Here is a 26,643-nt window from a genome sequence, read left to right on the forward strand (position 1 = left end):
TAACTTATTTATGGATCTTTACATATAAAATTGTGCCCATATTTCTGATTATTTTCTTAGGATATTTCTTTCCTTTTAAATTTTTAATTTTTTTGAGATAGGGTCTTGCTCTGTTGCCCAGGCTGGAATGCAATGGTGTGATCAAGGCTCACTGCAGCCTTGACCTCCTGGGCTCAAGTGATTCTTCTACCTCAGCCTCATGAGTAGCTAGGACTACAGGTGCGTGCCACCAGGCCCAGCTAATTTTGAAACTTTTTGTAGAGACGAGGTTCTGCTATGTTGCCCAGGCTGGCCTCAAGTGATCCTCCTGCCTCACCTCCCAAAGTGCTGGGATTATAGGCGTGCGCCACCATGCCCGGACAGGATATTTCTTAAAAGGAGATTGTTAGGGAAAATGATGTGAGCATTAAAATATTAGTAATGTTATTTTTTCCCTTTAATTCTAAATGTACAACATAACCCTAGAAATAATTATGATTAACATTTTATGGTATTTCCTTTGTCTTTTTAAAGGGAGGGGCATTTGAAAGACAGTTCATACTTTCAAATGGTTTTCTAGATTTATATCAATTACCTCTCAGCAGCAATATATCAATGCAGAACCTTACTGCATTCTCGTGAATGTAGACTATTATCAAAATAAATTATACTGACTTGAAGGAAAAATCGTATCTCATTGTTTTGTTAAGACATCTTTGATTATTAATGAAGTTGAGCTTCTGTTTTTCTAAATGTTAACTATTTATATATGTTGTTATTTTCCGTTTTCTTTGCAATTACAGCTCTTTTTTTCTTCTCTCTTTTTTTTTTTTTTTTTTTTTGAGACAGAGTCTTGCTCTGTTGCCCAGGCTGGAGCGTAGTGGCACAATCCTGGCTCACAGCAACCTCCGTCTCCCGGGTTCCAGCGATTCTTTTGCCTCAGCCTCCTGAGTAGCTGGGATTACAGACACGCACCACTGTGCCCAGCTAATTTTTTTTTTTCATTTTTAGTAGAGATGGGGTTTCAAACCATGTTGGCCAGGCTAGTCTCGAACTCCTGATCTCAAGTGATTCACCCACCTCAGCCTCCAAAAGTGCTGGGATTACAGGCGTGTGCCACCGCACCCAGCCTGCAATTACGGTGATTTCTAAATATATAAATGCATTGATGGAGGATGAGATTGATCTGTGTGTGCTTCAGCACCTGCATCTTAACGTCAGTGGGAGAACTATAATTGCAATGAAAACGGACAATAAAAAGACATACAAATAGTTAACAAACATTTGGAAAAACAGAAGTTCAACTTCATTTCAAATGGAGCCATCAACAGTACACTGAGTTCTACTTCATGAGAAGGAGCTGAACAGTCGCGTGGCTTCCTCATTCCTCACCCTGTCCCTTTGCTGCACACGTGGCATTCAATCACACCTCAAACTGCTACATATTGGTTTAAGATAAGCTATTAAAACATTTGACTTAGCGTATTTAGTTTCTTAAACCCCTTTTGATTCAGTATGATGCTGATCTTGGTTTACTACAATTCTTGCTGGGCTAAAGGCTGCAAGGGAATATGCAAGTAGCAGGAGACAGTGAGATCGATCCATCAATTGATTAAAATCTCTTTGCTGAAATTTATCTGTAGGGGTCCAGAAGCCACTTTGCTGCCTCCAGCCTGCCCATGGACAATTAGCAGATAATGTACAGAAGTATTTCTGCTTTGCAATAGTGGCTTCCAAAGACCCTTGTGGAGTCCCTGGCCTGCAGGTGCTGGAGCCCTGCCTGGGGGCAGTAAGCAGAGCCCAGGCTAACCTGGGAATGGATCCTCATGCCCTCTGCTTCTTCCCCTTCATGAGTTGATCCATATGGGCTGAGAAGGGGGCTGTCAACTAGTAGGCAGATTTTCTTTACCCTCCCTCTGAAGTTTCTAATTACTCACACAAGTCTGGATGTGAAGCTGACATCAGCTTCCTTCACAGTGTCACCTGGGAAAATCTTGGTCAGCATGTGGTCCCTTTCCTTTCTAAGCCGACACCCTCTACTTAGCAATTATGAAGTGGCTTTACAGTCAGTGCTGGAGCATAGTGTACAGCCCAGGGTGAACCCTACACCATCCCTTCCCTTAACCAGAGCCTACTGACCTACCTGCTTTCCTTCCTTCCCTCTTTCGGTATTTATTTAGTGTTTCCTGTGCTAGGTGCTAGGGATGAGTCAAATATATTTATGACATGGTCCCTGTTCTCAATGAACTTGTGGTTTAATGGGGGAGATGGACTAAGTAGACAGACGACTACAAAGTAAGTGGCAAAGCAGCAGTGAGCACAAGACATAACAAAGAGCTGGAAGCCCTTCCACATAGCTGCACCTTTAACCCTGACTCTAAGGCATCAACTGAGGCTCCAAGCCATGTGGTGTTTACAGGGAAGAGTATAGGAACAAATCCCCATCAGGCCTGTCTGCATTTTGTGGTCACTGTTACAAAGGTCAATCTGTGTTAATTCTAGAAACAGCATACCCCCCATCTCACAATTACGTTAAACAGTCCATCACCCTTGATGATAACTCTTCCTGCTTCATAATGCATATAACTAGACATCATTTCATTATAAAGAAAAAGAAAATACTTTTTTTCTTTTTGGAGATGGCTTCTTGCTCTGTCACCCAGGCTGGAGTGTAGTGGCGCAATCTCAGCTCACTGCAACCTCTGCCTCCCAGGTTCAAGCGATTCTCTTGCCTCAGCTTCTGGAGTAGCTGGGACTACAGGTGTTCACCACCACATCCAGCTAATTTTTGTATTTTTAGTACAGACAGGGTTTCACCATGTTGGCCAGACTGGCCTCCAACTTCTGACCTCAGGTGATCCTCCTGCCTCGGCCTCCCAAAGTGCTGGGATTATAGGCGTGAGCCACCACACCCAGCCTGAAGAAAATACCTTCATGTGCAAAAACTGCTCCTTTAAGATAGGGTTCTTCCTTGTAGCAACGAAAGGCACCCTGGCACTGCTCACTTTTATGATGCAGCTCCCACCTCCATCCCCCTAAAACCTCACCTCTGGACCCTGGAGATATGACCTGGTGAAAGTGGCTGCTCAGATTCTGGAATCTATTCAGCCCTTAGCCCTCGATCATCTGCTTTGTCACCTCTGCTCTCAGGAGTGGCCAGTCTTCATATGGCCGGTGACATAATTGCTAAGTAGGCTGCTGTGAATGCCCATCTACTCAGGACTGAACTGAGCTAGGTCATGGCCATCAGTAAACATTATCAAGTAATGACTTTGTTACCACTGGCATCTGAACAGGAAGTCCAGATCTGAAGGTCAATTCCACACACCTGTTTCAGAGTGTGTGTGTTTTTTTTTTGAGACAGAGTCTCCATCTGTGGCTCAGGCTGGAGTGCAGTGGCGAGATCTTGCCTCACTGCAACCCCTCCCAGGTTCAAGTGATTCTCCTGCCTCAGCCTCCCAAGTAGCTGGGACTACAGGTGCGTGCCACCAGGTGTGGCTAATTTTTTTTTGTATTTTTCATAGAAACAGGGTTTCGCCATGTTGGCCAGGCTGGTCTTGAACTCCTGACCTCAGGCGATCCACCCACCTCAGCCTCCCAAAGTGCTGGGATTACAGATGTGAGCCACCGCACCCGGCCTTCAGAGTGTGTTTCTAGCTAAGATTGAATATATGCAGTGATAAGAAATCCATCTACAGCTTCCTATATATTCATTCAACACATAGTTCCTGTGCTTCTAGACGGGGAGGTAGACACAGTCCTCCCCTCATGTGCTCCTTATAACCCCCTGAAAGTGACAGATGTTAAATAAAAAAAAAGTATACGAAAAGGAAGTACAACTGTGGTGTTATGAAGGAGAAAACCAGAGTGCTAGAAGACGACACTAACATGAGGACTTAGACTTGTTTGAGGAGAGGGTCAGGAAAAGGCTTCCTTGGGAAAGTAGCATTTAAGCTGAAACCTGGAAGATGCACGGGGGCTTGGGGAAGAGGTTAGGAACAGCATTCCTGGCACAGGGCACGGCACCGGAGCTGTCTCTGAGGTAGGCAGTGAGGGGCTTTCCTTGAGGAAGCCAAGGAAAGCTGCTGTGGCCTGCAGGTGAGCCTGCAGGTAAGTGCAGGAAAATGCAGAGTGAGGAGGTGGGGCCACATCGTGTAGGCTGTGGGAGTGACCTCAGACCTGATCTTGAGTAGCCACTGAAGGAGGGGAGTGATATGATTGGAAAGTCAACTGAGTCCAACCACAGTTGGGAAAACATTTTTTGACTCGTGTCATTGGAACCAAATAGAATCAATTAATAGTAGTAACATGACAGTAGTTACGGTTGTTGTCCGAATCACAGGGAGTGCTAGAACTTAATTAGTTATCTGTTTGAAGCCTCAAACACAAACTTCCAAAGCTTTAAAAAGCAACTTGTAAAAGCTTCCCTCTTTGGTCTTTCTCTTTTAAGCTTCTTTTTAACCAAATCAGGCAGGCACTGTGTACCAAGCCTCTGAGACACATCTGTGTGATCTTTCCAACAGAGGAATGGGAGCCTCTGCATCCAAGGTGGGGAGCGGCAGAGCTGGGACTGAGGGCAGAACGGTTGATTCCAAAGCCCGTGCTCCATCCATGTTCACAGAATGGAGGAAATCAAAAAGGAGCAGATGATGCGGCTGCAGGCTTCTGGGATATTAACAGGACAAAGCTACTGAGAAAACAGGGGTTTCTGGCTGAAGGTAGAGGATGCTGGGAAAGGGCAACAAATGAAGGGGTGGCAGAAGTCAATAAATTGAGCAGGAAATGAAAAAAGAAGAGCTGAATTAGAGCATTTGTCTAAGCATCCTGAGGACAGGAACCTTGTTTATCCTGTTCATGGCTATATCCCTAGGGCAGAGAACACGACTCAGCAAGTGACATGTGCTCAAGAAATAGATGCTGACTCAGCGAATGAATGTATTTAAACAGAACCTATTCTGTAATAATCACTATGACAACAGTTAATAAAATCAGCCACCGTCAACTAAGCACCTACATGTGCCACACCTGTGCTGGGGGTTTGGCTAGGTTAACACAAACCCAACCACCAGGTACAGCAGGTGTTGTCGTCACAATCCTGGGAAGGAAATAAGGTACACAAAGGTTAAGTAACGTCTGATGTCTCTTGTCTAGTAAGTAGCAGGGATGGACTTAAACACAGACCAATCTCACTCCAAACCTTGTACTCTTTCTCTGCCCTGTGCTGTGTTGCTTCTCAAGCATGAACATGCTAAGAACTTGGGCTTCAGTCATGGCCAGTCCCTTCAGGATGACTTGGCCACTGTAGGGTCTCATTCTTTCATCATTCTTAGTCATCAAGTCCAAGTAGCCCTGGAAGAAGGGAGCATATGTGCACAGAAGGACACCTACAGGAAGCATCTTACCAAAAGTGCCTTGCATCATTGAGGCTGTGTCCGGGTAGTTCAGTGGTGCTAACGAGGCCACTGCTACAGGTTCAGTCTCCACGTCCAATTAACTCAGCTTTGTGCCTTGGAGACTACACCCCAATCCATCTCAGAGGTGCATTCAGTAGTTTCAGGAAAGATGGCTGGGAAGTGTGGGTGGCTTGGTGAAACCTATTTGCAAGACTAGCAAAACAATGCAAAAGGTATGCTGCAATAATGGTGAGCGGCAGCTTCCTAGAAAAAGGTCACGCAAACTTCTGCACCAAACCTGGGTGATCAGAGCTCCTCTGCAACATTAAGTCCTTTTTCCCAAAAGAGTCTTGAGATTTTTTCCCCCAGGTATTTATCAGAATCCTCTTTATCTTTCTGCGTTATTACAAAAAAAAAAAAAAAAGGCTGGTGTCAGGCAGCTAGCATTATTTCTGAAAATTACTGAGAACTTAAAAGACATTCAGAACATCTATGCAACTTGACACAGTTCAAAAAATTGTCATTGGAAACAGAGACAATCTTATAACCAACATTTAGGCAAGTCCATGTTTAGAATATGGTTAGTTTTCAAGGCAAGTATGTTTCATTCTACTTCTGTCTGTATGGAGAGATTCCGTCTCTAGTCTCATCCCTTTGCAAACTGTTTTTCTCATGGCTGCTGGAGTTATCTTTCCAGGACACATATCTGATTCATTCATTTGCTTTATATAACCTATCAACCCCCTTTGCACAGCTGTATAAGTCAGGTGTTTGTGGGACTTATCATCTATCTGGGACACTCTTGAGAGTTAAAGGACGCAGCTCTATTGATGATTATGTTGGAGCAACAGACATAAACCTTGGGAAACTGGGATCTGTGGTCACCTCACATGGAATAGAAGGTCCTTGGCAATCTGAACTGAACCCACATTTTCTGACTCTTCCCCACCCAGATCAGCCTCTGAGAGGGATCTGCCCTTTCCGTGCTTTCTGTCCCAGACCTCAGCCCTTCCAGCTTCTCTTCTGGAAGAGTGAGTGCACACACCTCCAGAGCAGCTCGAAGTGCAGTTGCACCTACTCACTGGAATTACAGGTCCAGCCTCTATGCTCCTATGCATCTTGACTGGACACAGTCATCATTTGTTTTTATGTGTATTGCCCTCTCTAGACTGGGAACTCCTTGAGGTTGGGGGGTTTAAGTCATCCTTGTGGCCACCCCCAATATGTAGAGGAGTGTTTTGTACATCCTTCGTGTTCAGAAACTGTCAGTTGATAATAAATAAATCCCACGACTAGATAATCTGGTGCCTTTTAAATAAATACATTGAGGTCTGTGTTATAAATAGATGTTTATGACTAAAATGTTTTATGGCAGAGCTGCTGACTGTCCTGGTGTCATAGAAACTTCAGCTGATTTCCATGTGAGTGTATGGAAGAAGTAATATATGAGCAATCTATTTTCTCTGGGTGAAGACAGCAATGGGCATATTTCACTTCCATTGTTAATTGGGGATAGTATTGCTCTAGGCCAAGACACTAAGTCAGCTAAGCGCTGACTAATCGAGGAAGTGTTTGCAGGTGCACTGGGCCCAAGGACACACAGGCCTCTTGTACTTTAACTTACATGTGGTGTTCTCAGACCTGCATGACCAATTCTGCAATAGTATCTGCCACAGAAAAGACACTGTGTGAAATTCTTGTGCAGCTCTTCCCCATCTAACCTGTTCCTCACAATGGTGAACACCCAGGGGAAGTGAAAGGAAGTGCCCCAGACTGAGACTGGGAACCGTCACCTCCCACTGGATGAGCAATGGGAGACGCCCAGGAGTGTGAATTCCCTGCCTCCATAATGCCTTTTCTCTCCCAAAGCATTAGTCTTGGAGAGATGAGCAATGATTGGTAACTCTCCTCTCTAGTTAAATCTGAATTTCCAGTTGCTTTACAGACTGAGAAAGTAAATGCAACACAGTAGTCATCCTGCTCCGAGAGCTTTTGAACTGTTGCTGATCTTTAGCACGTATAACTTGAATATATTAAAGAGCCAGAAAATAAGATCCGGGAATAAAGGAGAGATAAAAGGTCAGAGGATGAGTGTGTGAAGGTATCACAGGGCAAGTCACTAGATGGGGACAGCTGCTTCCCACAGTCTCTGAGAACTAGAAGAAACCACAGCAGATGCAGTTTTGGTTAGAAATAGGACCAAGTTTCCTGAGCAGGATGTTTAAGATCATTAAATAAATCACCAAGGGAACTGTGGAATATATTCCTCTGCTGGTCTTTACAAACAGAGCAGTAACTGAGCAATTAGGGATGAGTTCTGTTTAAGTCTGACCACTGTGCTGAATTGGCTGGAATCTCTAAGTTCCTTCCAGCCTCAGAGTCTCACGATGCCTCACCCTCACCAATTGCCTGTAAGAGACAGTGGAACCCAGAACCAGAGGGCCCTCAAGGAGTTATCATGTAATCAGTCTCTGACAGTCAAAAATTTGTCCTTACATTTAATCAAACTTCCTTGGTTGTAGAATGGGTACAGGATAGTTTCCTCCTATCAACCCTCATGCATGGTAAGCCAAGGTTACCACATTAAAAAAAATTTTTTTTTTTGAGACAGAGTCTCGCTGTGTCGCCCAGGCTGGAGTGCAGTGGCATGATCTTGGCTCACTGCAAGCTCCGCCTTCCAGGTTCATGCCATTCTCCTGCCTCAGCCTCCAAGTAGCTGGGACTACAGGCACCCGCCACATTTTTTTGTATTTTTAGTAGAGACGGGGTTTCACTGTGTTAGCCAGGATGGTCTCGATCTCCTGACCTTGTGATCTGCCTGCCTGGGCCTCCCAAAGTGCTGGGATTACAGGCGTGAGCCACTGCGCCTGGCCGGTTATTACACTTTTTAAGGCTCTTCTAACAAACATTCTTCATGCTTTCAAAGCTCCTTTCAAAGCGACTCTTGTAAAGTTCACAAACCTCTAAAAACTCAGTGACATCCCAGTTTGATATGATTGATCTGCACAGATGGATTCTACAATGCCAAGTTCTGGGTTCTAAGACAGGAAACTTAACACAACATTCATGTTTCTAACATGCATATCCTAAAGGTGTCTATTAATACTATAGATATGAATCTAAGTCACCAAGCACACATGTCTGTTGTCGGGAATAGAAGGTAAGAGAAAGAAGTGACAGATTAGTTCCACTTGAGGCTATGGAAAGGGCTGGCTCCCATGAGGAAAAGTGCTGGAGGGGGAGTGCTGGGCAAAAGGGGACTCAGAAGTCACAAGATGGGTGGGTGGAGGGAAAAGTAAATACAAATGCACAGAAGGGCCCTTGGAAGAGAGACCTTAAAGGGTGTTTCTACCACTGGTGCTAGAGTAGGTGAATCAGTGGGAAGTATCTGTGGGGCTTGCTGGGCTAAGAGGATGCAGGGTAGCCAGGAGGGAAGAGGAGATGTGGGGGAGTGGGGCGTGGAAGCAGGCAAACGAACGGGTAAAGAAAACCTCATTGGTTGGTAAATGGTCAAAAACTGACCACACTCTTCTGGTTTTTAACCCTGGCAACCCCGCCTCTGGCCCTCCCTCCACTGGAAGTTTCCAAGCATCTGTTCCTGCTGCTGCCTTTCTTCTGCTCCCCTGGGCTGTTCCCTGTATCAAGCCTTTCCTCCTTTCCTGGAACTTGCAATTCCACTAAATTTGCCATATGGCCTAGAAAAACTGTAAATTCTGGTGGGGTCGCGTTGATAATTCCTTGTTCTCCAGAAGGTAGCAGAGGACCGAGAATTGGGTTTAAATTAAAAGGGTGGAAACTTCTATAAGTCAAGAAAGGAAGTAGCCATTTCTTTGGACACTTGGTAGCATATCCACTGCCACTTTCTAGCATATTTTAAAATGAAAACTTCTTGGTGGTATATTGAAGAAATAAGACTTTCAAACTCTCTCTCCCCTGTTCAATTAATTTTGGGAAATCAAAAATCACTTCCTTTTCACATCCAGAAAATCTGATTTTGTCGAGGCAATTAAGAATATTACCATTTTACTCTAGCAAAGTAACCCATGCAGAGGACTGAAGAAAATGAAAAGCAACAGTCCCTTAACCCACTGCTGGTTCTTTTGTGCTTGCTTTAAATTGCTTCTACTTTTAGCTCTTTTTATGGTGAACTCCAAACACTAAATAACAGGCTGATATTACCTTTCTGAATTTATCAACTTCAATTTATCTGAAATTATCAACTTGATATATATCCACTGACTTCCTTTTACAACAGACCTAGGTTCATATCACTAATAACCCCTGCTCTCCTCCTCATCTGTAATTTCATCAATAGTTGTATTACTTCTTGACCACATTAAATAATATATGTATCCTTTATTTTTGTTCCATCAACAAGAAACTCTCTCTGTATTTCCCATTTTCTAAGGTGCTGATGCCAGTATCTCCACCTTCCTTCCAGCACTTTTACTCCCCCTCGCCCACCTCCCACCAGCTATACTTCTACACCAGAGGCTGAGGCTGCTTCCTTTGTGACATCTCCAACACTGATCTCTGGATTTTACCTCCCAAAGATGCTCTTTTCCCAAGTACCCCACTCTCAGCCAGTGCTACTCCATCTACCCAGATGCTCCAGCCACAAACAAATCCTCTCTTTCCCTTTCGCCCACATAAGTCCTGTCATTTCTACCTCCAAATATATTTCACCATCTCCATGGCTAAAATGTTAGTACAAGCCACTGTCTTCTAATTTTAGGACCAGCCACCCTCTTGTCTTGCTATAATCCACCCTCCACAAAATGGCCAGAGTGATTTTTCAGAAATATAAGTCAGACCACATCACCCCCTTTGCTAAAAAAACCTCTTATTAAAATCCCCTTATCATTATCCACGAGGCCTTCAATGATCTGGCCTGGGTGATCTCTAACTTCCATCTCCTATACTCTTCCCTTCATTCACTCTGCTCCAGCAACACAGGCACTTATCGTTCCACTGTCACAGGCTAATTTCCATTTTAGGGCCTTTACTTTTCTGCTTGGTGACATCTCAGATCTTCTCCTTCTTCTCGTCATTCAAATCCTAACTGAAGGGTCACTCTCTGACAGGCTTTCCATGTTAGCAAAAGCAACCTCTTCTCCCTAGCTATGCTCTTTCATGTTACCCTATTTCAGCGTCTTCACAGCACTCCAGACATTATCTTGTTTGTACTTTCTTAGCGTTCATACCCCTTTCTAGAATAAGAGCCCTTTAAGAACTGTTTTGTTCACTGCCTGTATCCCAATCACCTTCTATGCGTGGCACATACAAGGCATTGAAAAAATACTGACTATTATCAACTCGGTGTTCTGTAGCCTTAATTAAGGCTTCTATACTTTGGTTAAGATTAATTCTAAAAGTTGGAAATCAAAGAATGTTTTATTTCTGCAAACCTATAATTATTATTCACTATTTAAATAATGTCCCCAAATATGTTCTATTTTCTTGCTTGGAACTTACAATTGTTTTTTCTCTTCCATGGTCTAGAATTGAATAAAATCCCTTGAATCCCCGCATTTCACAGGTACCAATCATCAGAGCCCCGTGTCTTCTTGCTCTGTCAGTCTGTACCACAGCTGCCACTCTATTTCTCTCTTGATTTGGATCTGCTACCTTTGACTCTCATGTCTTCTTCTTTCCTGTTTTATTACCTTACTTTGCTGGAATATATCCTCAGGAAACTTCACAGGAAAGGGTGTGTGTGAAAGGCTCTGACTGTGCTGTTTTTCTTCTTTTTTTTTTTTGAGGGAAGGTTTTGGTCTGTTACCGAGGCTGGAGTGCAGTGGTGTGATCACCGCACACTGCAGCCTCGAACTCCTGGGCTCAAGCAATCCTCCCACCTCAGCCTCCTGAGTAGATGGGATGACAGGCATGTGCCACCACTTTCGGCTAATTTATTTATTTTTTATTTTTTAGAGACAGGGCCTTCTTATATTCCCCAGGCTGGTCTTGAACTCCTGGCCTCAAGCCATCCTTCCACCTCAGTCTCCTAAAGTGCTGGGATTACAAGTGTGAGCCACTGTGCCCGGTCTCTGACCATATTTTATCCCTTGTTTATTTTTTATTATTATTTTTTGAGACGGAGTCTCGCTCTTTCACCCAGGCTGGAGTGCAGTGGCGCAATCTCGACTCACTGCAGGCTCCGCCCCCCAGGGTTCACGCCATTCTCCTGCCTCAGCCTCCTGCGTAGCTGGGACTACAGGCGCCCGCCACCTCGCCCGGCTAATTTTTTGTATTTTTACTAGAGACAGGGTTTCACCGTGTTAGCCAGGATGGTCTCGATCTCCTGACCTCGTGATCCGTCCGCCTCAGCCTCCCAAAGTGCTGGGATTACAGGTGTGAGCCACTGCGCCCGGCCCCCTTGTTTATTTTTAACTTTATACCTGACTGATACTTTGGCTGGGAATAGAATTATAGGTGGACAATACTTATCTCTCCGTACTTTACAGAAGCTTGTCTTTTAGCATCTAGTATAAGTGAAGAGAATTCACATACATGTGCACAGTTGTATCACTACTAGCAAAGACTATCCAGATTGATGCACCCAAGATGAAATTTTGTAAAGCTAGCTAATTTAAATTAAGTGGGTTAGTCTGAATTATAGTATGTTGAGTAAAGAAATTCTGTTTTCTTTCTTTCAAATGTAAATAGCGTCTCCACAAATTCTTCTCCAAATCAGGCTAATTGTCTTTCTGCAAGTCTTCTTTTCCTAATCATTTTCTTAGTAAACTTCTTATTCACAGCATTTAATTCTCCTTCATGCTGCTCATCACCATTGTACTTGCTTTCAATTATTCATTTGAAAATTCAGTGTGGTAAGAAATAGTATCTTGCTTATTGCTGTATCTTTGGCACCTAACTTATGTAGAAAGAGAGCCTGGCACTTCTGAGTGTGGGCTCACTATACAGATTGAGAAAACAAAAGTAAAGGTACACGAGGTGCAGCTGAAGCCCTCTCAAAGTCAAGAAGCATATCCCTGGTGAGCTGTGTAGGCTCCCTAGTCCTAACATCTAAAACAGTGGTTTGCAGGGATCATGAGCTTTGAAGTCAGAAAAACTGGGTTTGAATCTGTCTGTGCTCGCCACTTGCTAGCTGTATGACCCTGGACAAGTCATTTATATGCTCTGAACTCTGGGTTCTTCATATGTAAAATGAGGATAAATATGTCTACCTTGTAATACAGTGACTTTGAAGGATAAATAAGACAGTTTATGTAAAGTTACTGACATAATCGTGGGAGCTGATGGGAAGTATCGGAAGTATTATTGTTATTAATAAAAGCAATGAAATGTTGATATACAGAAATCAAACCTAAAGCACTAATTTTGATGAAAGAATCCCAAATTTATGTACTGTTTCACATAATACTAAGCATGATAAAAAACATTCTAGAGTAAAACTCAAATTATTAGCAGGTATTTAAATAAAGCTACTTTTGGCCCAGCCAAACGTTCTTCCTACTTTCTGTAGCTCCAATCCGAGGACCTTTGATTTACCTTGTCTGTATATAGCTCAATCCATTAAAAAATCATTAGGCAGCAGCCTCAGGCTACAAAGCCTTACATTTGATTTCTTTTGCATCCTTTAATTTACTGATGAAAATTTTGAAAGAGTAAAATTGAAATTAGTGAGGCTTTATTGAAAGTTCATTACATCCACAATAAATTTTGCTTGGTTAAATAAAATTTTCCATGTGGTGTGATTATATAGTACAAGGAAAGAGATTTTCTGGGGTGACTTATGGATACCCACCTTATTATCTTAGTCCTATCAGATGCATAGTGAGTTCTCTATCTGCTCCTTTTTCCACTTTATGCAGCGAATCCCATGGACTTCACCCCCCATTCCCTCTGGGGTGTGTTTCTCCTAACTTTGTTTTCACTCCATTATGTTTCAATGGCTCCTGCTTCTTCTCTTTGGAGTTTGCCTGGATCCTGCCCATCAGAGAGATGACTGCTAGATTGATGGGTCAGAAATACATCCATCATACAGACTCCAGAATTACCAAGATGATTCTTTGCTCAACTACCTGTAGTGGCAATCAACCTGCCGGGGATAGCATTCCATGGCAACAGAAAAGAAAACATGGGCTTTTAAAAGGTAGGTTCCTAGTATGCTTGTTGTTGAGGGAGAATCTTTTTGTTTTGGTGTGTGTCAATCAATGCCCTCATCTAAGAGATGTGACAACAGTGAAGATGCAAAACCACAGGAACCTCAAAACCACTAAAAGCTGTATATTTGACTCCTTTTTACCTATTAAAGGGAATCCATTAGTAGACTTCAAGAACAAAATCAGAGTAAAATTAGTTCACTCTTAGGTAGATCAGGGGTGAGTCAGGAGAAGAAAGAGGAAGCATGTCAAAATATCTACTATCCCAAAGAACTTTGGAGAACTTGCCAGCTTGCTACTCTGCCCCACTTGCTATTTAGGTTCTAAGCACTATGACTGATGGCAAGTTTGTAAACTACAAGGTTTTATATTTAAAGGAACCTGGGTCTCCTGACCTTATTTCTCTATCTAAGAAGCAACAAAGGACAGCATATTTAGGAATCTGCATTAGAATCAACTACCAAGGACAATTTCTGAGGACAATTGTGACTATCTAACTGTAATCTCTTATAAAAGGACGGTGACAAGGTTTTTAAAGCAGTACAAAACTCTAAAGAGAATTCTGTGATACATATCAATAATGTATCACATACTATTCAGGATATCAAAATAACCTTAATTGGACTAAATCATATGATGGTAGTCCATGTGCCTAAGAAATGTGTTTCTGTGGTAACATTCATATTTTGTTAATCTAATATCAGCTTTGATTTACTACTGCCTCTTTTTAAAAAGGGTCATTTATTTATGAATGAGTGAATGAATGAATGAGACAAGGTCTTGCTCTGTCACCCAGGCTGAAGTGCAGTGGCATGATCATAGCTCCCGGCAGCCTTGACCTTCCCAGGCTTAAGTGATCCTCTCGCCTCAGGCTCTCAAGTAGCTAGGACTACAGGCACATGCCACCATGCCCAGCTAATTTTTTATTTTTAAATTTTTATTTATCTTTTTTTCAAATAGAGATGAGGTCTCGCTTTGTTGCCCAGGCTGCTCTTGAACTTCTGGGCTCAAAAGATCTTCCTGCTTTGGCCTCCCAAAGTGCTAGGATTAAAAGTGTGAGGTAGGCTGGGCATGGTGGCTCACGCCTGTAATCCTAGCACTTTGGGAGGGCGAGGCAGGTGGATTGCCTGAGCTCAGGAGTTTGCGACCAGCCTGGGCAACAGGATGAAACCCTGTCTCTATTACAATACAAAAAAATTAGCCTGGTGTGGCAGTGGGTGCCTGTAATGCCAGCTACTCAGGAGGGTGAGACAGGAGAATCACTTGAACCCGGGAGGCGGAGCTTGCAGTGAGCCGACATCGCACCATTGCACTCCAGCCTGGGCGACAGAGTGGGACTCAGTCTCAGGAAAAAAAAAAAAAAGCATGAGGTACCGTACCCGGCCTAATTTTTTATTTTGTGTTTTTTGTAGAGACTGGGTCTTGCTACATTGCCAGGGCTGGTCGTGAACTCCTGGGCTCAAGTGATCCTCCCACCTCAGCCTCCCAAAGTGCTGGGACTATAGGTGTGAGCCACCACACCCTGCCAGGATAAGTGATTTAGAACAGAGATAATATATAATGTCTAATGATTAATCAACATTTGTCAGGTGCTGAGATGTTTATTTTTATACCTTTCCTTTTGCAGAAAGGATGCTTTTAGGTTTGAGTTCTGCTCTTCTGAACAGATGGCTATCATTTAACTAACAGCAATACTGAGCTTTTTTTACCAAGGACTCATAGTCTAGTCACAAAAAAAAAAGAATGTGATTTAGCTTTCACTAGTAAGAGTTGAAAATAGAGCATAAATAAGAATCCAACAGACAGAACTTTCAAGATTCAGATACATATTTCTTTTTTTTTTTTTTCTTTTGAGACGGAGTCTTGCTCTGTCACCCAGGCTGGAGTGCAGTGGCACGATCTCGGCTCACTGCAAGCTCTGCCTCCTGGGTTTATGCCATTCTCCTGCCTCAGCCTCCTGAGTAGCTGGGACTACAGGCACCCGCCACCACGCCTGGCTAATTTTTTTGTATTTTTAGTAGAGACAGGATTTCACTGTGTTAGCCAGGATGGTCTCGATCTCCTGACCTCGTGATCCGCCCATCTCGGCCTCCCAAAGCGCTGGGATTACAGGCGTGAGCCACCGCGCCCAGCCTCAGAAACATATTTCAAAGAGACCTTAGAGGTAGCTATTAGAATGCCCAGGTTTATAAAACATAAGAGATGGCTGGCACAAACTGCATATAAGAGAATAGCAGAATACAGCTTTGAAACCTCATATACATAAAATAAGTTATGTGGTAAAAATATTTCCCTTTGTTAATGGTCCTAAGTTCTTTTATTCAACCCACCAGAGGTCCAATAAATTGCCATCAAATCATAGAGGGTCACATAGGTAATGGGCCCCAAGGGGCATGGCATATCAGATTCCCTATGTGTATAAGGTTAGGAAACTATACCCCATCTTCTCAGGATCAAACACCCACATTTACAAGGTTACTACTTTCACCTGATAGAATAATAACTTCAGAACCCTGCTCATCTGGGAATCAGCACTAGCTGGCCGAGTTTAGGACATACCCACAGTTAGATTTTCAGGTTCTCACCTACAGAACAGATCCTCGGAACTGGGTTTCCTGAACTTGTGCAGTATGAAAAATTAGCTTTTGAGTTTGAAATAACAGAATTTGTAATAGAAAGAGATAATACTCTAAAGATCAGACTATACTTCCATTTAATCTTTTTATTAATTTTAGCATGCAATTTGGCTTTTACCCTCAATGCTTTTACAAAAGGTGCTTTCAAAGGTCACCAAATCAAAGGGACTGCTCTAGGGCTAGGTCTCCTTTAATGCGGAGGCATTTGACCTTGTTGTCTTCTTTCTGGGAGAGTACTTCCCCTAAGTCTCCTCCTGCCTTTTGACCTCCCATTTATTACATGTAGGAATTGCCTAGGGGTCCATCCTGGCCCCTTTTCACTCTACATGTTTCCTTGATGACTTCCTCCTGCTTTGGCGTAACTTCAGACTCATTTACATTCCCTTCAAGTTCCTTGACAATCTGGTCATATCTACATACCTTTCTGGTAGTTCTTGCCACTCCTCTCAACACAATCTCTGATCTTGCCACTCTGGACTACTCACTGTTTTCAGAACAGTGGCAATGTTTTTTATTTTTTATTTTCTTTTCCCTTTTTCTTTTTTTGAGATAGGGTCTTGCTCTGTCACCCAGGCGAGAGTGCGGTGGAATGGTCACAGCTCACTACAGCCTCAGCCTCCTGGGCTGAAGCAATCCTTCCCTGCCTCAGCCTGAGTAGCTGGGACTACAGGTGTGTGCCACTATACCCAGGTAATTTTTAAATTTTTTTGTAGAGACAGGGTCTCACCATGTTGCTCAGGCTGATCTCAAACTGCTGGACTCAAGTGATCCTCCTGCCTTGGTCTCCCAAAGTGCTGGGACTACAGGCATGGGCAACCACGTCCAGCCCAATGTATTTTCAAATAGTTCCTTTATGTATTTGTTCGTGCTGTTTTCTTCTATACACAATTCATGGCCCTGTCTCACCTGAACATCCCTCCCTATACTCCAGATTCTAGTCACTTTTATTAAGGCATGCTTTATTAAGGCATCACTGACATACAATAAACTCCACATATTTAAGGTATACAATTTGACAGGTTTTGAAATATATATTATACCTGTGAAACCATCACTGCACTCAAACTATCCATTACTCCCCAAAGGTTTCTTGTGCTGCTTTGTAATTCCTACTTCCTTCCCCTCCCTATCCACTCTCCATCCCAACAATGACTGACCTACTTCCTGCTCCTATGGTTTGTATTTTCTAGAGTTGTATATAAATGGATAAACTTTTCAGGTTGGCTTCTTTCACCAGGCAAAATTATTTTGAAATTCATCCATGTTGTAGTATCAATAGCTCATTCTTTTTATTACCGAGTAGTAGTTCACTGTATGGATATAACAGTTTGCTTATCCATCTTCCAATGCTAATGGACATTTGGGTTATTCCCGGTTTTTGGCTATTACAAATAATTTGATGTGAACATTTGTGTATGTCTTTATATGGATAAATGTGTTTATTTCCCCTAGATAAATATCTAGGAGTGGAGTGGCTGGAATATGTGGCAGGGATATGTTTAGCTTAAAACACTGCCAAACTGTTCCCACCATGATAATATAAAATGACAATACAAATTATTCAATTAATACAATTATCCAAAATGGACAAACCAGTTATCCAAAAATTATGCAATAGAGTTAAATCCTATCTTAAGGGGAAAACATTCAGTCTTTCACCATTAAATATGATATTTGCTTTAGATTTTTTCACAGATGTACTTTACCAGGTTGTAGAAGTCCACTTCTATTGTTAGTCTGCTAAGAGGATTTTTTTTTTTTTTTTTTTTTTTTTTTTTTTTTTTTACCAGAAATGGATGCCGGATTTTAAATGCTTTTTCTGCAACCACTGAGATTGTTTTTTTTTTTCAGTTTGTTTATCTGGTGAATTTTTTTTTTTTTTTTTTTGAGTCAGAGTCTCACTCTGTCACCCAGGCTGGAGTGCAGTGGTGCCATCTCAGCTCACTGCAACCTCTGCCTCCCAGGTTCAAGCGATTCTCCTGCCTCAGCCTCCTGAGTAGCTGGGACTACAGGCGCCCGCCACCAGGCCCAGCTAATTTTTTGTATTTTTAGTAGAGACGGGATTTCACCATATTGGCCAGGCTGGTCTCGAACTCCTGACCTCGTGATCTGCCTGCCTTGGGCTCCCAAAGTGCTGGGATTACAGGTGTGAGCCACTGCTCCCGGACTATCTGGTGAATTTCATATATTGATTATTGGATGTTAAACCAACCTTGCATGCCTGGGATAAATCCCACTTGGTCACAATGTATTATCCTTTTTATATATTGTTGGATTTGATTAGTTATTTTATAAAATGCTAAATTGGATGCACTAAATATTGCTTATAATTCCTAAATCTATGCTCTTAATGGACATTGGTCTGTAGTTTTCTTTTCCTGTATTATCTTTGTCTGGTTTGGTATGAGGCGAAGGCTGGCCTCAGAATGAGCTGGAAAGCATTATCTCCTTTTCAATTTTCTCGAAGAGTTTGTGTAGAACTGGTGATATTTCTTAAATCTATAGTAGAACTCCCCAGTAAAGGCATCTAGATCTGGAGTTTCCCTTGTGGAAAGGTTTTAACTATGAATTAAATTTCTTTAATATACATAGAGCTATTCAGGTTATCTATTTCTTCTTGTGTGAGTTTTGGTAGTTTGTGTCTTTCAAGGAGTCTATTTAATCTAAGCTGTCAAATTTACTGGCATAAAGTTGTATCACATTCTTTTGTTACGCAGTTAATATTGATAGAATTTGTATTGATGTCACATTTTTCATGTTGATATTGGGAATTTGTGTCTTCTGCTTTTCCTCATCAGTCCTACTAGATGTGTATCAATTTTATTTTGGTACTACTGATGTTTGCTATTGTTTTTCTGATTTCCATTTCATTGGTTTCTGTTCTGACCTTTCTTCTGCTTTCTTTGGTTTAATTTGCTCTTATTTTTCTAGTTCCTTCCTTCCTTCCTCCCTCCCTCCCTTCCCTTTTCCTTTTCCTTTTCTCTCTCTCTTCCTTCCTCTCTCTCTCTCTCTTTCCCTCTCCATGCCCCTCTCGCTCTCTTTTTTTTTCCCGACAGGGCCTCACTTTGGCTACCCTGGCTAGAGTGCAGTGGCTCAATCTTGGCTCACTGCAGCCTCAACTTCCTGGGCTCAGGTGTTTCTCCCACCTCAGCCTCCTAACTAGCTGAGAATACAGGTGCACACCATCATACCTGGCTAATTTGTGTGTGTGTGTGTGTGTGTGTGTGTATGTGTGTGTGTTTTGAGATGGAATCTTGCTCTGTCACCCAGGCTGGAGTGTAGTAGAGCGATCTCGGCTCACCGCAACCTCTGCTCCGAGGTTCAAGCAATTCTCTTGCCTCAGCCTCCTGAGTAGTTGGGACTACACGTGTGCACCACCACACCTGGCTAATTTTTGTATTTTTAGTAGAGATGGGGTTTCACCATGTTGGCCAGGCTGGTCTTGAACTCCTGACCTGTCTTGGACAGGTGATCCACCTGCCTTGGCCTCCTCCCAAAGTGCTGGGATTACAGACGTGAGGCACCATGGCTGGCTGATTTTTTTGTAATTTTTTAGTAGAGATAGGGTTTTACCACGTTGCCCAGGCTGGTCTCAAACTCCTGGACTCAAGCAATCCACCTGCCTCGGCCTCCCAGATTGCTGGGATTACAGGCATGAGCCACCCATGCCTGGCTTTTTCTAGTTTCTTGACATAAAAGCTGAGGGCATTGATTTGAGACTTTTAAAATCTACGCATTTTAAAAGAAAAGCATTTTATTGTCCTGTATATTTCCATGTAAGTATTGCTTCAGCAGCATTACATGAATTTTGAAATGTTATTGTTTTCATATTCATGAAGTTCAAAATACTAATGTCTCTTAATTTCCCCTTTGACCTATAAGTTACTTTGGAGTGTGTTATTTGGCTCCCAATTATTTAGGAATTTTTCCAGGGATCTTTTTGCTGTTGATTTCTAATTATGTTTCATTATGGCAGAGATTTTGAATGCTTTTACATAATATTTACTGTAACTGTGACATGACCCAGAATATGGTCTATTCTGGCAAATATGCACTTGAAAAGAATGTGTATTCTGATGCTGTTGGGCAGAATGTTTTATAAATGGTAACTAGTTCAACTCAGTTCAACTCAGTTGATAGTGTTCACATTTTCTATATGCTTACTGATTTTCTATTGACTTGTTCTATCAATTATGGAGACAGAAGAATTGAAATTTCCAAATATAATTGTAGATTTCTCCATTTTCCCTTGTTCGTTTTTGCTTTATACATTTTGAAATTCTTTTAGGGCCATATATATTTAGGTTTGCTATGTTTCCTTCATGAATTCACCCACATTACTTTTACTATTATTTTTAAAACAGATAATTGTTTTTTAAAAAGATTTAATCAACAAGGAAAAAATCTTAAAAATTTGCTTGTGTAGCTAATATTTCTAGTGCTCTTCTGTTATTTTTGGAGATCTATATTTCCATGTAGTATATTTTTATTCTTTCTGAAGGACTTTAACATCTCTTGTACTGTGAGTCTTCTGGGAATAAACTGTTTTATCTTTCTTGTGTCTGAAAAGTCTTTTAATTCACCTTTGTTTTGGAAAGCTATTTTTGCTTGGTATGAAATTGTAGGTAGAGGGGGTTTTCCTTCAGTACTTTAAAGATGTTTCTCTATTGCTCTCTTGCTTGCATTGTTTCCAACGAGAAATCCTCTGTCATCTTATCCTTATTCCTCTGTATATAATGTGTCTTTCTCCTCTAGCAATGTTTATCACTGGCTTTGAGCAATTTGAATGTGATATGCCTTAGTGTAGTTTTCTTCATGATTTTTTTTGTGCCTAGGGTTCATTGAACTTCTTGGATCTAAGGGTTTATATAGTTTTCATCAAATTTGGAAAAATTTCAGCCATTATTTCTTCAAGTATTTTTTCTGTCCTCCTCCTTCCTTCGGGGACTTCGCTTACTAGTCCTTTATATATAGGCCACTTGAAACTGTCCCACAGTTCCCTGATGACTTATTCATTTTTTGAAAATTTATCTTTTCTTTGTGCTTCATTTTGGATAGTTTCTATTGCTATGTCTTTAAATTCACCAATTTTTAGTTCTGTAATATCTAATGTGCTGTTACTCCCAGCCACTGTAGTTTAATATCAGACATCATAGTTTTCATTTCTAAAAGTTCGATTTGAGTCTTTTTCTTTGTTTGTTCTTTGTTTTTTTTTTTGAGGCAAGGTCTTGATCTGTCACCCAGGCTGGAGTGCAGTGGCACAATCAGGGCTCACTGCAGCCTCAACCTCCTGGGCTCAAGTGATCTGCCCGCCCCAACCTCCCAAAGTGTTTGGATTACAGGCATGTGCCACGTGCCCTGCTTATTTGGGTCTTTTTTGATATCTTGCACATCTTTAATTTTTGTTAAAACACAGTTGTAATAATTATTTTAATGTTGTTACTGGTGATTTCTAACATCTGTGGCAGTTCTGGGCTGCCCTCGAACTCCTGGGCTCAAGTGATCCCCCAGCCTCAGCCTCCCAAAGTGCTGGGATTACAGGGGTGAGCCACCATGTCCAGCTGTGTCCTACCTTTTGGGGACCATCTTCATTCTCGTATCCAGAACAAATACTACCTATTTTTTATGATATTTTCCCCAAATCTCGCTTCTATCTAGAGATGTACTTTTACCTCTGTGCTTTAAACCACTTTCTTTATACTTCCACAAACTTATTATACATGATACATTTGTTTCCCTTGATAAGACAATAACCAATGGCAGGAGGTTGGTCTTTGCATCCTTGTGTCTAAAATGTCTGATATGTGACTGAACCTCAAGAAATAGATTTTTCTGGTTTCTATGATGCTGGCCAACCAACACTGACTTTTACATTATTCTTTTACCATCTTAACTATTTTCAAGTATACAGTTCAGTAGTAATATTTCCACTGCCACTGTTGTGAAATAGATCTTCAGAACTTTTTTTTTTTTTTCGAGCCAGGGTCTCACACTGTCATCCAGGCTGGAATAGCTCACTGCAGCCTTGACCTCCTGGCCTCAAGTGATCCTCCTGCCTGCCTCAGCCTTTGGAGTTGGAGTAGCTGGTACTACAGGTGCATGCCACCACACCCTGCTAATTTTTAAATTTTTTTGAAGAGACAAGAGTCTTGCCATGTTGCTCAGCCTGGTCTCAAACTCCTGATCCTCCTGCCTCAGCCTACCAAAGTGCTGGAATTACAGGCATGAGCCATAGCACCTGGCCCAGAACTTTTTCATCTTGCAAAAAGAAATACATATTTTAAAGGAATGAACAAATTTGGAGCTGTCTTTTGATAAACTATGGGACAAAAAAACATTGATTTGCTCAAAGGCCTATAGCTAGCTGGTGGCAGAGTTAGGACTGGAAGCCACATTGTCTGTTTCCTGTCAAATACTCATTCCTAATAGGTCTGTTAATTCAAAGCATATGACAAGCACAGAAGGCCAAGAATTTCCATGCATCAAAGAAGCCTCAGATGTGGAAAGTTACTAATTCTGATGGCATAATTTAGCTAGGCTGCGCTTGGGTTGTTTTCATTTGTCTTGGTTAGCAAGAAATATAATATTCTTTAACAAATTGTTCTCTCATTTTTTTTTCTTTTTTCTGACAAAGAGTTCTCTGAATCATCTGGTTCTGTAAGGTCGCTTTCCTTTTCTATTTTATATCTAAATTTCTTTTCTTCTTATACCCTCAGATTCTTTTCATTTTGTAAATGACATTCTAGGCCTGGTATCTTTCTTCCTAAGACCAGATATAACTCTTTGCTTCATTTAGTAATGATTCTGTCTTACCAGCGATTGTTGCATGGGGATTTTTTCCACTATGAAAATTTTATGTGAATTTACTGGCTACTAGTTGCTTTGTTTCTGTGAGAAAGGGCAGTCTGGCCAGGCACAGTGGCTCATGCCTGTAATCCGAGCACTTTGACAGGCCGAGGTGGGAGGATCACCTGAGGTCAGGAGTTCGAGACCAGTCTGGCCAACATGGTGAAACCTTGTCTCTCCTAAAAATACAAAAATTAGCCAGGTGTGGTAGCGGGCGCCTGTAATCCCAGCTACTCAGGAGGCTGAGGCAAGGGAATCTTTTGAACGTGGGAGGCGGAGGTTGCAGTGAGCTGAGATCGCGCCACTGCACTCCAGCACTCCAGTCTGGGCAACAGAGCAAGAATCCGTCTCAAAATAAAAAAAAAAAAAAAAAGGAAGGGCAGTCTAAAATAAAATAGTCTCGTATTAATGTTTAAATAATTTTTTCTGGTTATACAATTAATACATAACAATTATAGGAAATTCAACATTCCATATTTTTTTGAGACAGCTAAAGACCAAAAATAAAAAATATTAAGTGCAAAAAACTTTTTTTTTGACCATAAATATCATGTCGGCTACTTCTTTTGGTTTCAAATATTGAAGAAAAGGAGGCTTGGAATAATTTCTCTACGTGTCAAGGAGAAGCTAAAGGAAGCAATTGCTATTACCTTTTTAAGACAGGTTAGAGGACGGTCTTTGAATTCAATAGAACAAACCTTTCCCCATTGAACAGAGAAGTCTGGGATTTGCAGAGGGTCTGGTAAGGAATGCATGCCATGGAGAAACACCTGAGCAAACCATAAGAATTCGTTTTCTGAGCCTTTGTCCATGTTCTAAGCTCTAGAAAATACTATGTCCCTCATCCTCTTAAAATTCAGGGGGAAAAATTAATCTGATAGAATGATCTCTTCCTCTCTTCTCTGGTGGTAAGTTTCTCATCTCCACTCTAGTGTTGCCTATAACTGAAAGTATCACAGATTCTAGCATCTTGGGGACAGAATGGGCCCAGAGGCTTTCCTATTCCCTATGTGTGCAAATGACATTTTGAACCCAAAGCAGAATTTTACATTTATATAGTTGTGTGGTTTCTTCTCATTATTCTGGTTTGTCAAGATACTTTGAATCCTAACTTGTCATCAAAATATAAGTTATCCTTCCTGGGTTTTTCTTATTTGCAAATTTGTAAGTATGTCTTCATTCAAGTCATTGTTTAAGAAAAATTGTGTTAGTTTTACCCAATTTCTTCTCACTGAACTTATGCTTTCTTTGGTTGCTTTTTCCCTTCTAAGTACGTATAAACTATGACAATTTTAGAATTTTGCTGAAAATTTATGTCAGGTTCAACAATAATTACATATAATTTTTGCATCTGTGTTCACATTTGCACAAGGAAAACCTTTACCTGCCTTCAGTCTCTTGGCCCTTTTCCACTCTCCATGACTGCTCAAAGATGTCTGAGAGTGAATGGGGGTTCATATGAAGATGCTTTCCAGTGTCTCAGGATGTGAGTCATCTGGCCTGGAGTGTGAATTAATAAAGCATCCAGCAGTCCTCTTTTCCTAGCTGGGCTTTAAATTCCCTCTTGATGCTTGTTCTTCGTTTCAAAAACTTATTTCTTGATGGGTATGATGAAAACAAGTTTCTTTAACATGATACCATTTTCTCTAAACGGTGATGTCTTTCCTACCCTTGTAACAACAAGCAGTGCTCCTCTCTCATTTTTGTTACTAGTTTTTCCAAGACTCATTAGGTTAGGACTCTGTTGGATGCAAGTTACATAAACTCAATTCATAGTGACTTAAGCAAAAAGGAAAAGTTGTTAAGAACTAGGACAATTCACTGAGTAAAAAGTAACTCGCCAGGCCAGGGGCTGTGGCTCACGCCTGTAATTCCAGCACTTTGGGAAGCTGAGGTGAGCGGAACACTTGAGGTCAGGGGTTTGAGACCAGCTTGGCCAACATGGTGAAACCCCGTTTCTACTAAAAATACAAAAATTAGCCAGGCGTGGTGGTGGGCACCTGTAATCCCAGCTACTCGGGAGGCTGAGGCAGAAGAATTGCTTGAACCCAGGAGGTGGGGGTTGCAGTGAGCCAAGATCGTGCCACTGCACTCCAGCCTGGGTGACAAGAGTGAAACTCCGTTTCAAAAAAAAAAAAAAAAAAGTCACTTGCCAAATGGTGAATTCACCAAAAGTCATCTGCTGAATGACTAGTTTGCCAAATTTACCAAATTTGCATATTTAACAAGGCTGAGTTTTGTTTATCCAATTTTTGTTGGACGAACTAGCAGGGTCAATGGAGGCTGTGAATACCTGGGGTTCTTGGGCCTTCAGCCTCTCTCCCACCCTTCAGCCTACCCCTTCTTGGTCCCCTAGTCTTCCCCTCCCTCTGCTCTTCAGCCTCCCTTCCCTGTGGGATTGGCGGCCCAGATGCACTGGGCACAGACTCTCCTTTCTTCCCTTCTCTCCTCTGTTCCAGCTACTTCCAGCTGCAGCAGCAGGGCCAGAAACAAACGGACCATTCCTTAAACTGTTGTTATGAAAACAAAATGAAAATCAATCAATTAGAACTTTGTAGAAATCCTCAAAGGCTATTAATTGCCATCTCACCTAGCTGAATTATATACTTTATATAAAGAGTCAAAAGAAACACATTTTTGGTAAATCTATAAATTTGGTAAATTAGATGAATTAGTCATCTGGCAAATTTGATAGAAGAAAGCTAAATATCAAATGGAAAATAACAAAGAAGATTTCAGAATTTAGGATAAGCTAAAGTCCCCATAGGAAATGCTAAAATCTGTGGATTTTGACAGTTCCTGGTTGGACAGTGTGTAGAGCTACCTTCTAGGAAAAATGTGGATCTGCATGACCTGAAATGTAGGTTGCTTGTTTCTGACAGTCAAGCCCTAGTATCTGGCACTGCTATCTGGGAGGAATCCCTTTAAGGGCACGATGCCTGATAAAAGACACACGTGCTTGCTAGTTCTTTGGAAGCATCTGAAAGAGGGATGTCCTTCTCTGATCGTTCAAAATAAACTCCAAACAGCATACCTGTACATTTGAGTGAAGTCCATTTTTTTCTGCTCCACTTAATAAAAAGACTAAACCAACCCAAGAGCCTTAGTTTTTTTCATCCTGAACATGTATTAAAAAGCTGTTAGAAGGGACATATTCAAGGAGTTTTTTCAAGACTAGTTTTTGGTAACTTCACAAATTTTTATAACTTCCATGAACTGGTATTGGGCAAACTGACTTCTGGTGAACTAATTTTTAAAATCCATTTAAAAAACTGTGGCAAAGGCTGGGCATGGTGGCTCAGCCTGTAATCTCCGAACTTTGGGAGGCCGACACAGGTGGATCTCTTGAGGCCAGGAGTTTAAGACCAGCCTGGCCAACATGGTGAAACCCCATCTCTACTAAAAATTAGCCTGGGCATGGTGGTGGACACCTGCAGTCCCAGCTACTTGGGAGGCTGAGGCAGGAGAATCACTTGAACTCAGGAGGTGGAGGGTGCAGTGAGCTGAGATCCCACCACTGCACTCCAGTCTGGGTGACAGAGCAAAATTTTGCCTCAAAAAACAAACAAACAAACAAATAAAACAAAAAAAAAACCCACAAAAAACAAAAACAAAACTTGTGGCACCCCACTGCCCCTGCAAGAGAATAAAATTCACCCTCCC

The 26,643-nt window shown here is 41.7% G+C and overlaps 1 protein-coding gene across 2 annotated transcripts in view, besides 2 other annotated features; it reads right to left on the reverse strand.

The window, feature by feature from the left end:
- The window catches only part of MYO1D (myosin ID), a 384,603-nt gene that overhangs the window by 69,885 nt on the left and 288,075 nt on the right, over window positions 1-26,643 (reverse strand). The gene's annotated exons all lie outside the window — the stretch shown is intronic.
- Window positions 7,149-7,228: an enhancer, noted in NCBI's record as "active region_12035". NCBI's record gives its function as "activates an Ori minimal core promoter by ATAC-STARR-seq in GM12878 lymphoblastoid cells {active_cell/tissue: GM12878}" and the evidence as "EXISTENCE:reporter gene assay evidence [ECO:0000049][PMID:35858748]".
- Window positions 7,749-7,978: an enhancer, noted in NCBI's record as "active region_12036". NCBI's record gives its function as "activates an Ori minimal core promoter by ATAC-STARR-seq in GM12878 lymphoblastoid cells {active_cell/tissue: GM12878}" and the evidence as "EXISTENCE:reporter gene assay evidence [ECO:0000049][PMID:35858748]".

The sequence above is a fragment of the Homo sapiens genome, chromosome 17 (assembly GCF_000001405.40).
Source record: "Homo sapiens chromosome 17, GRCh38.p14 Primary Assembly".
In the NCBI taxonomy this organism is placed as follows: domain Eukaryota; kingdom Metazoa; phylum Chordata; class Mammalia; order Primates; family Hominidae; genus Homo; species Homo sapiens.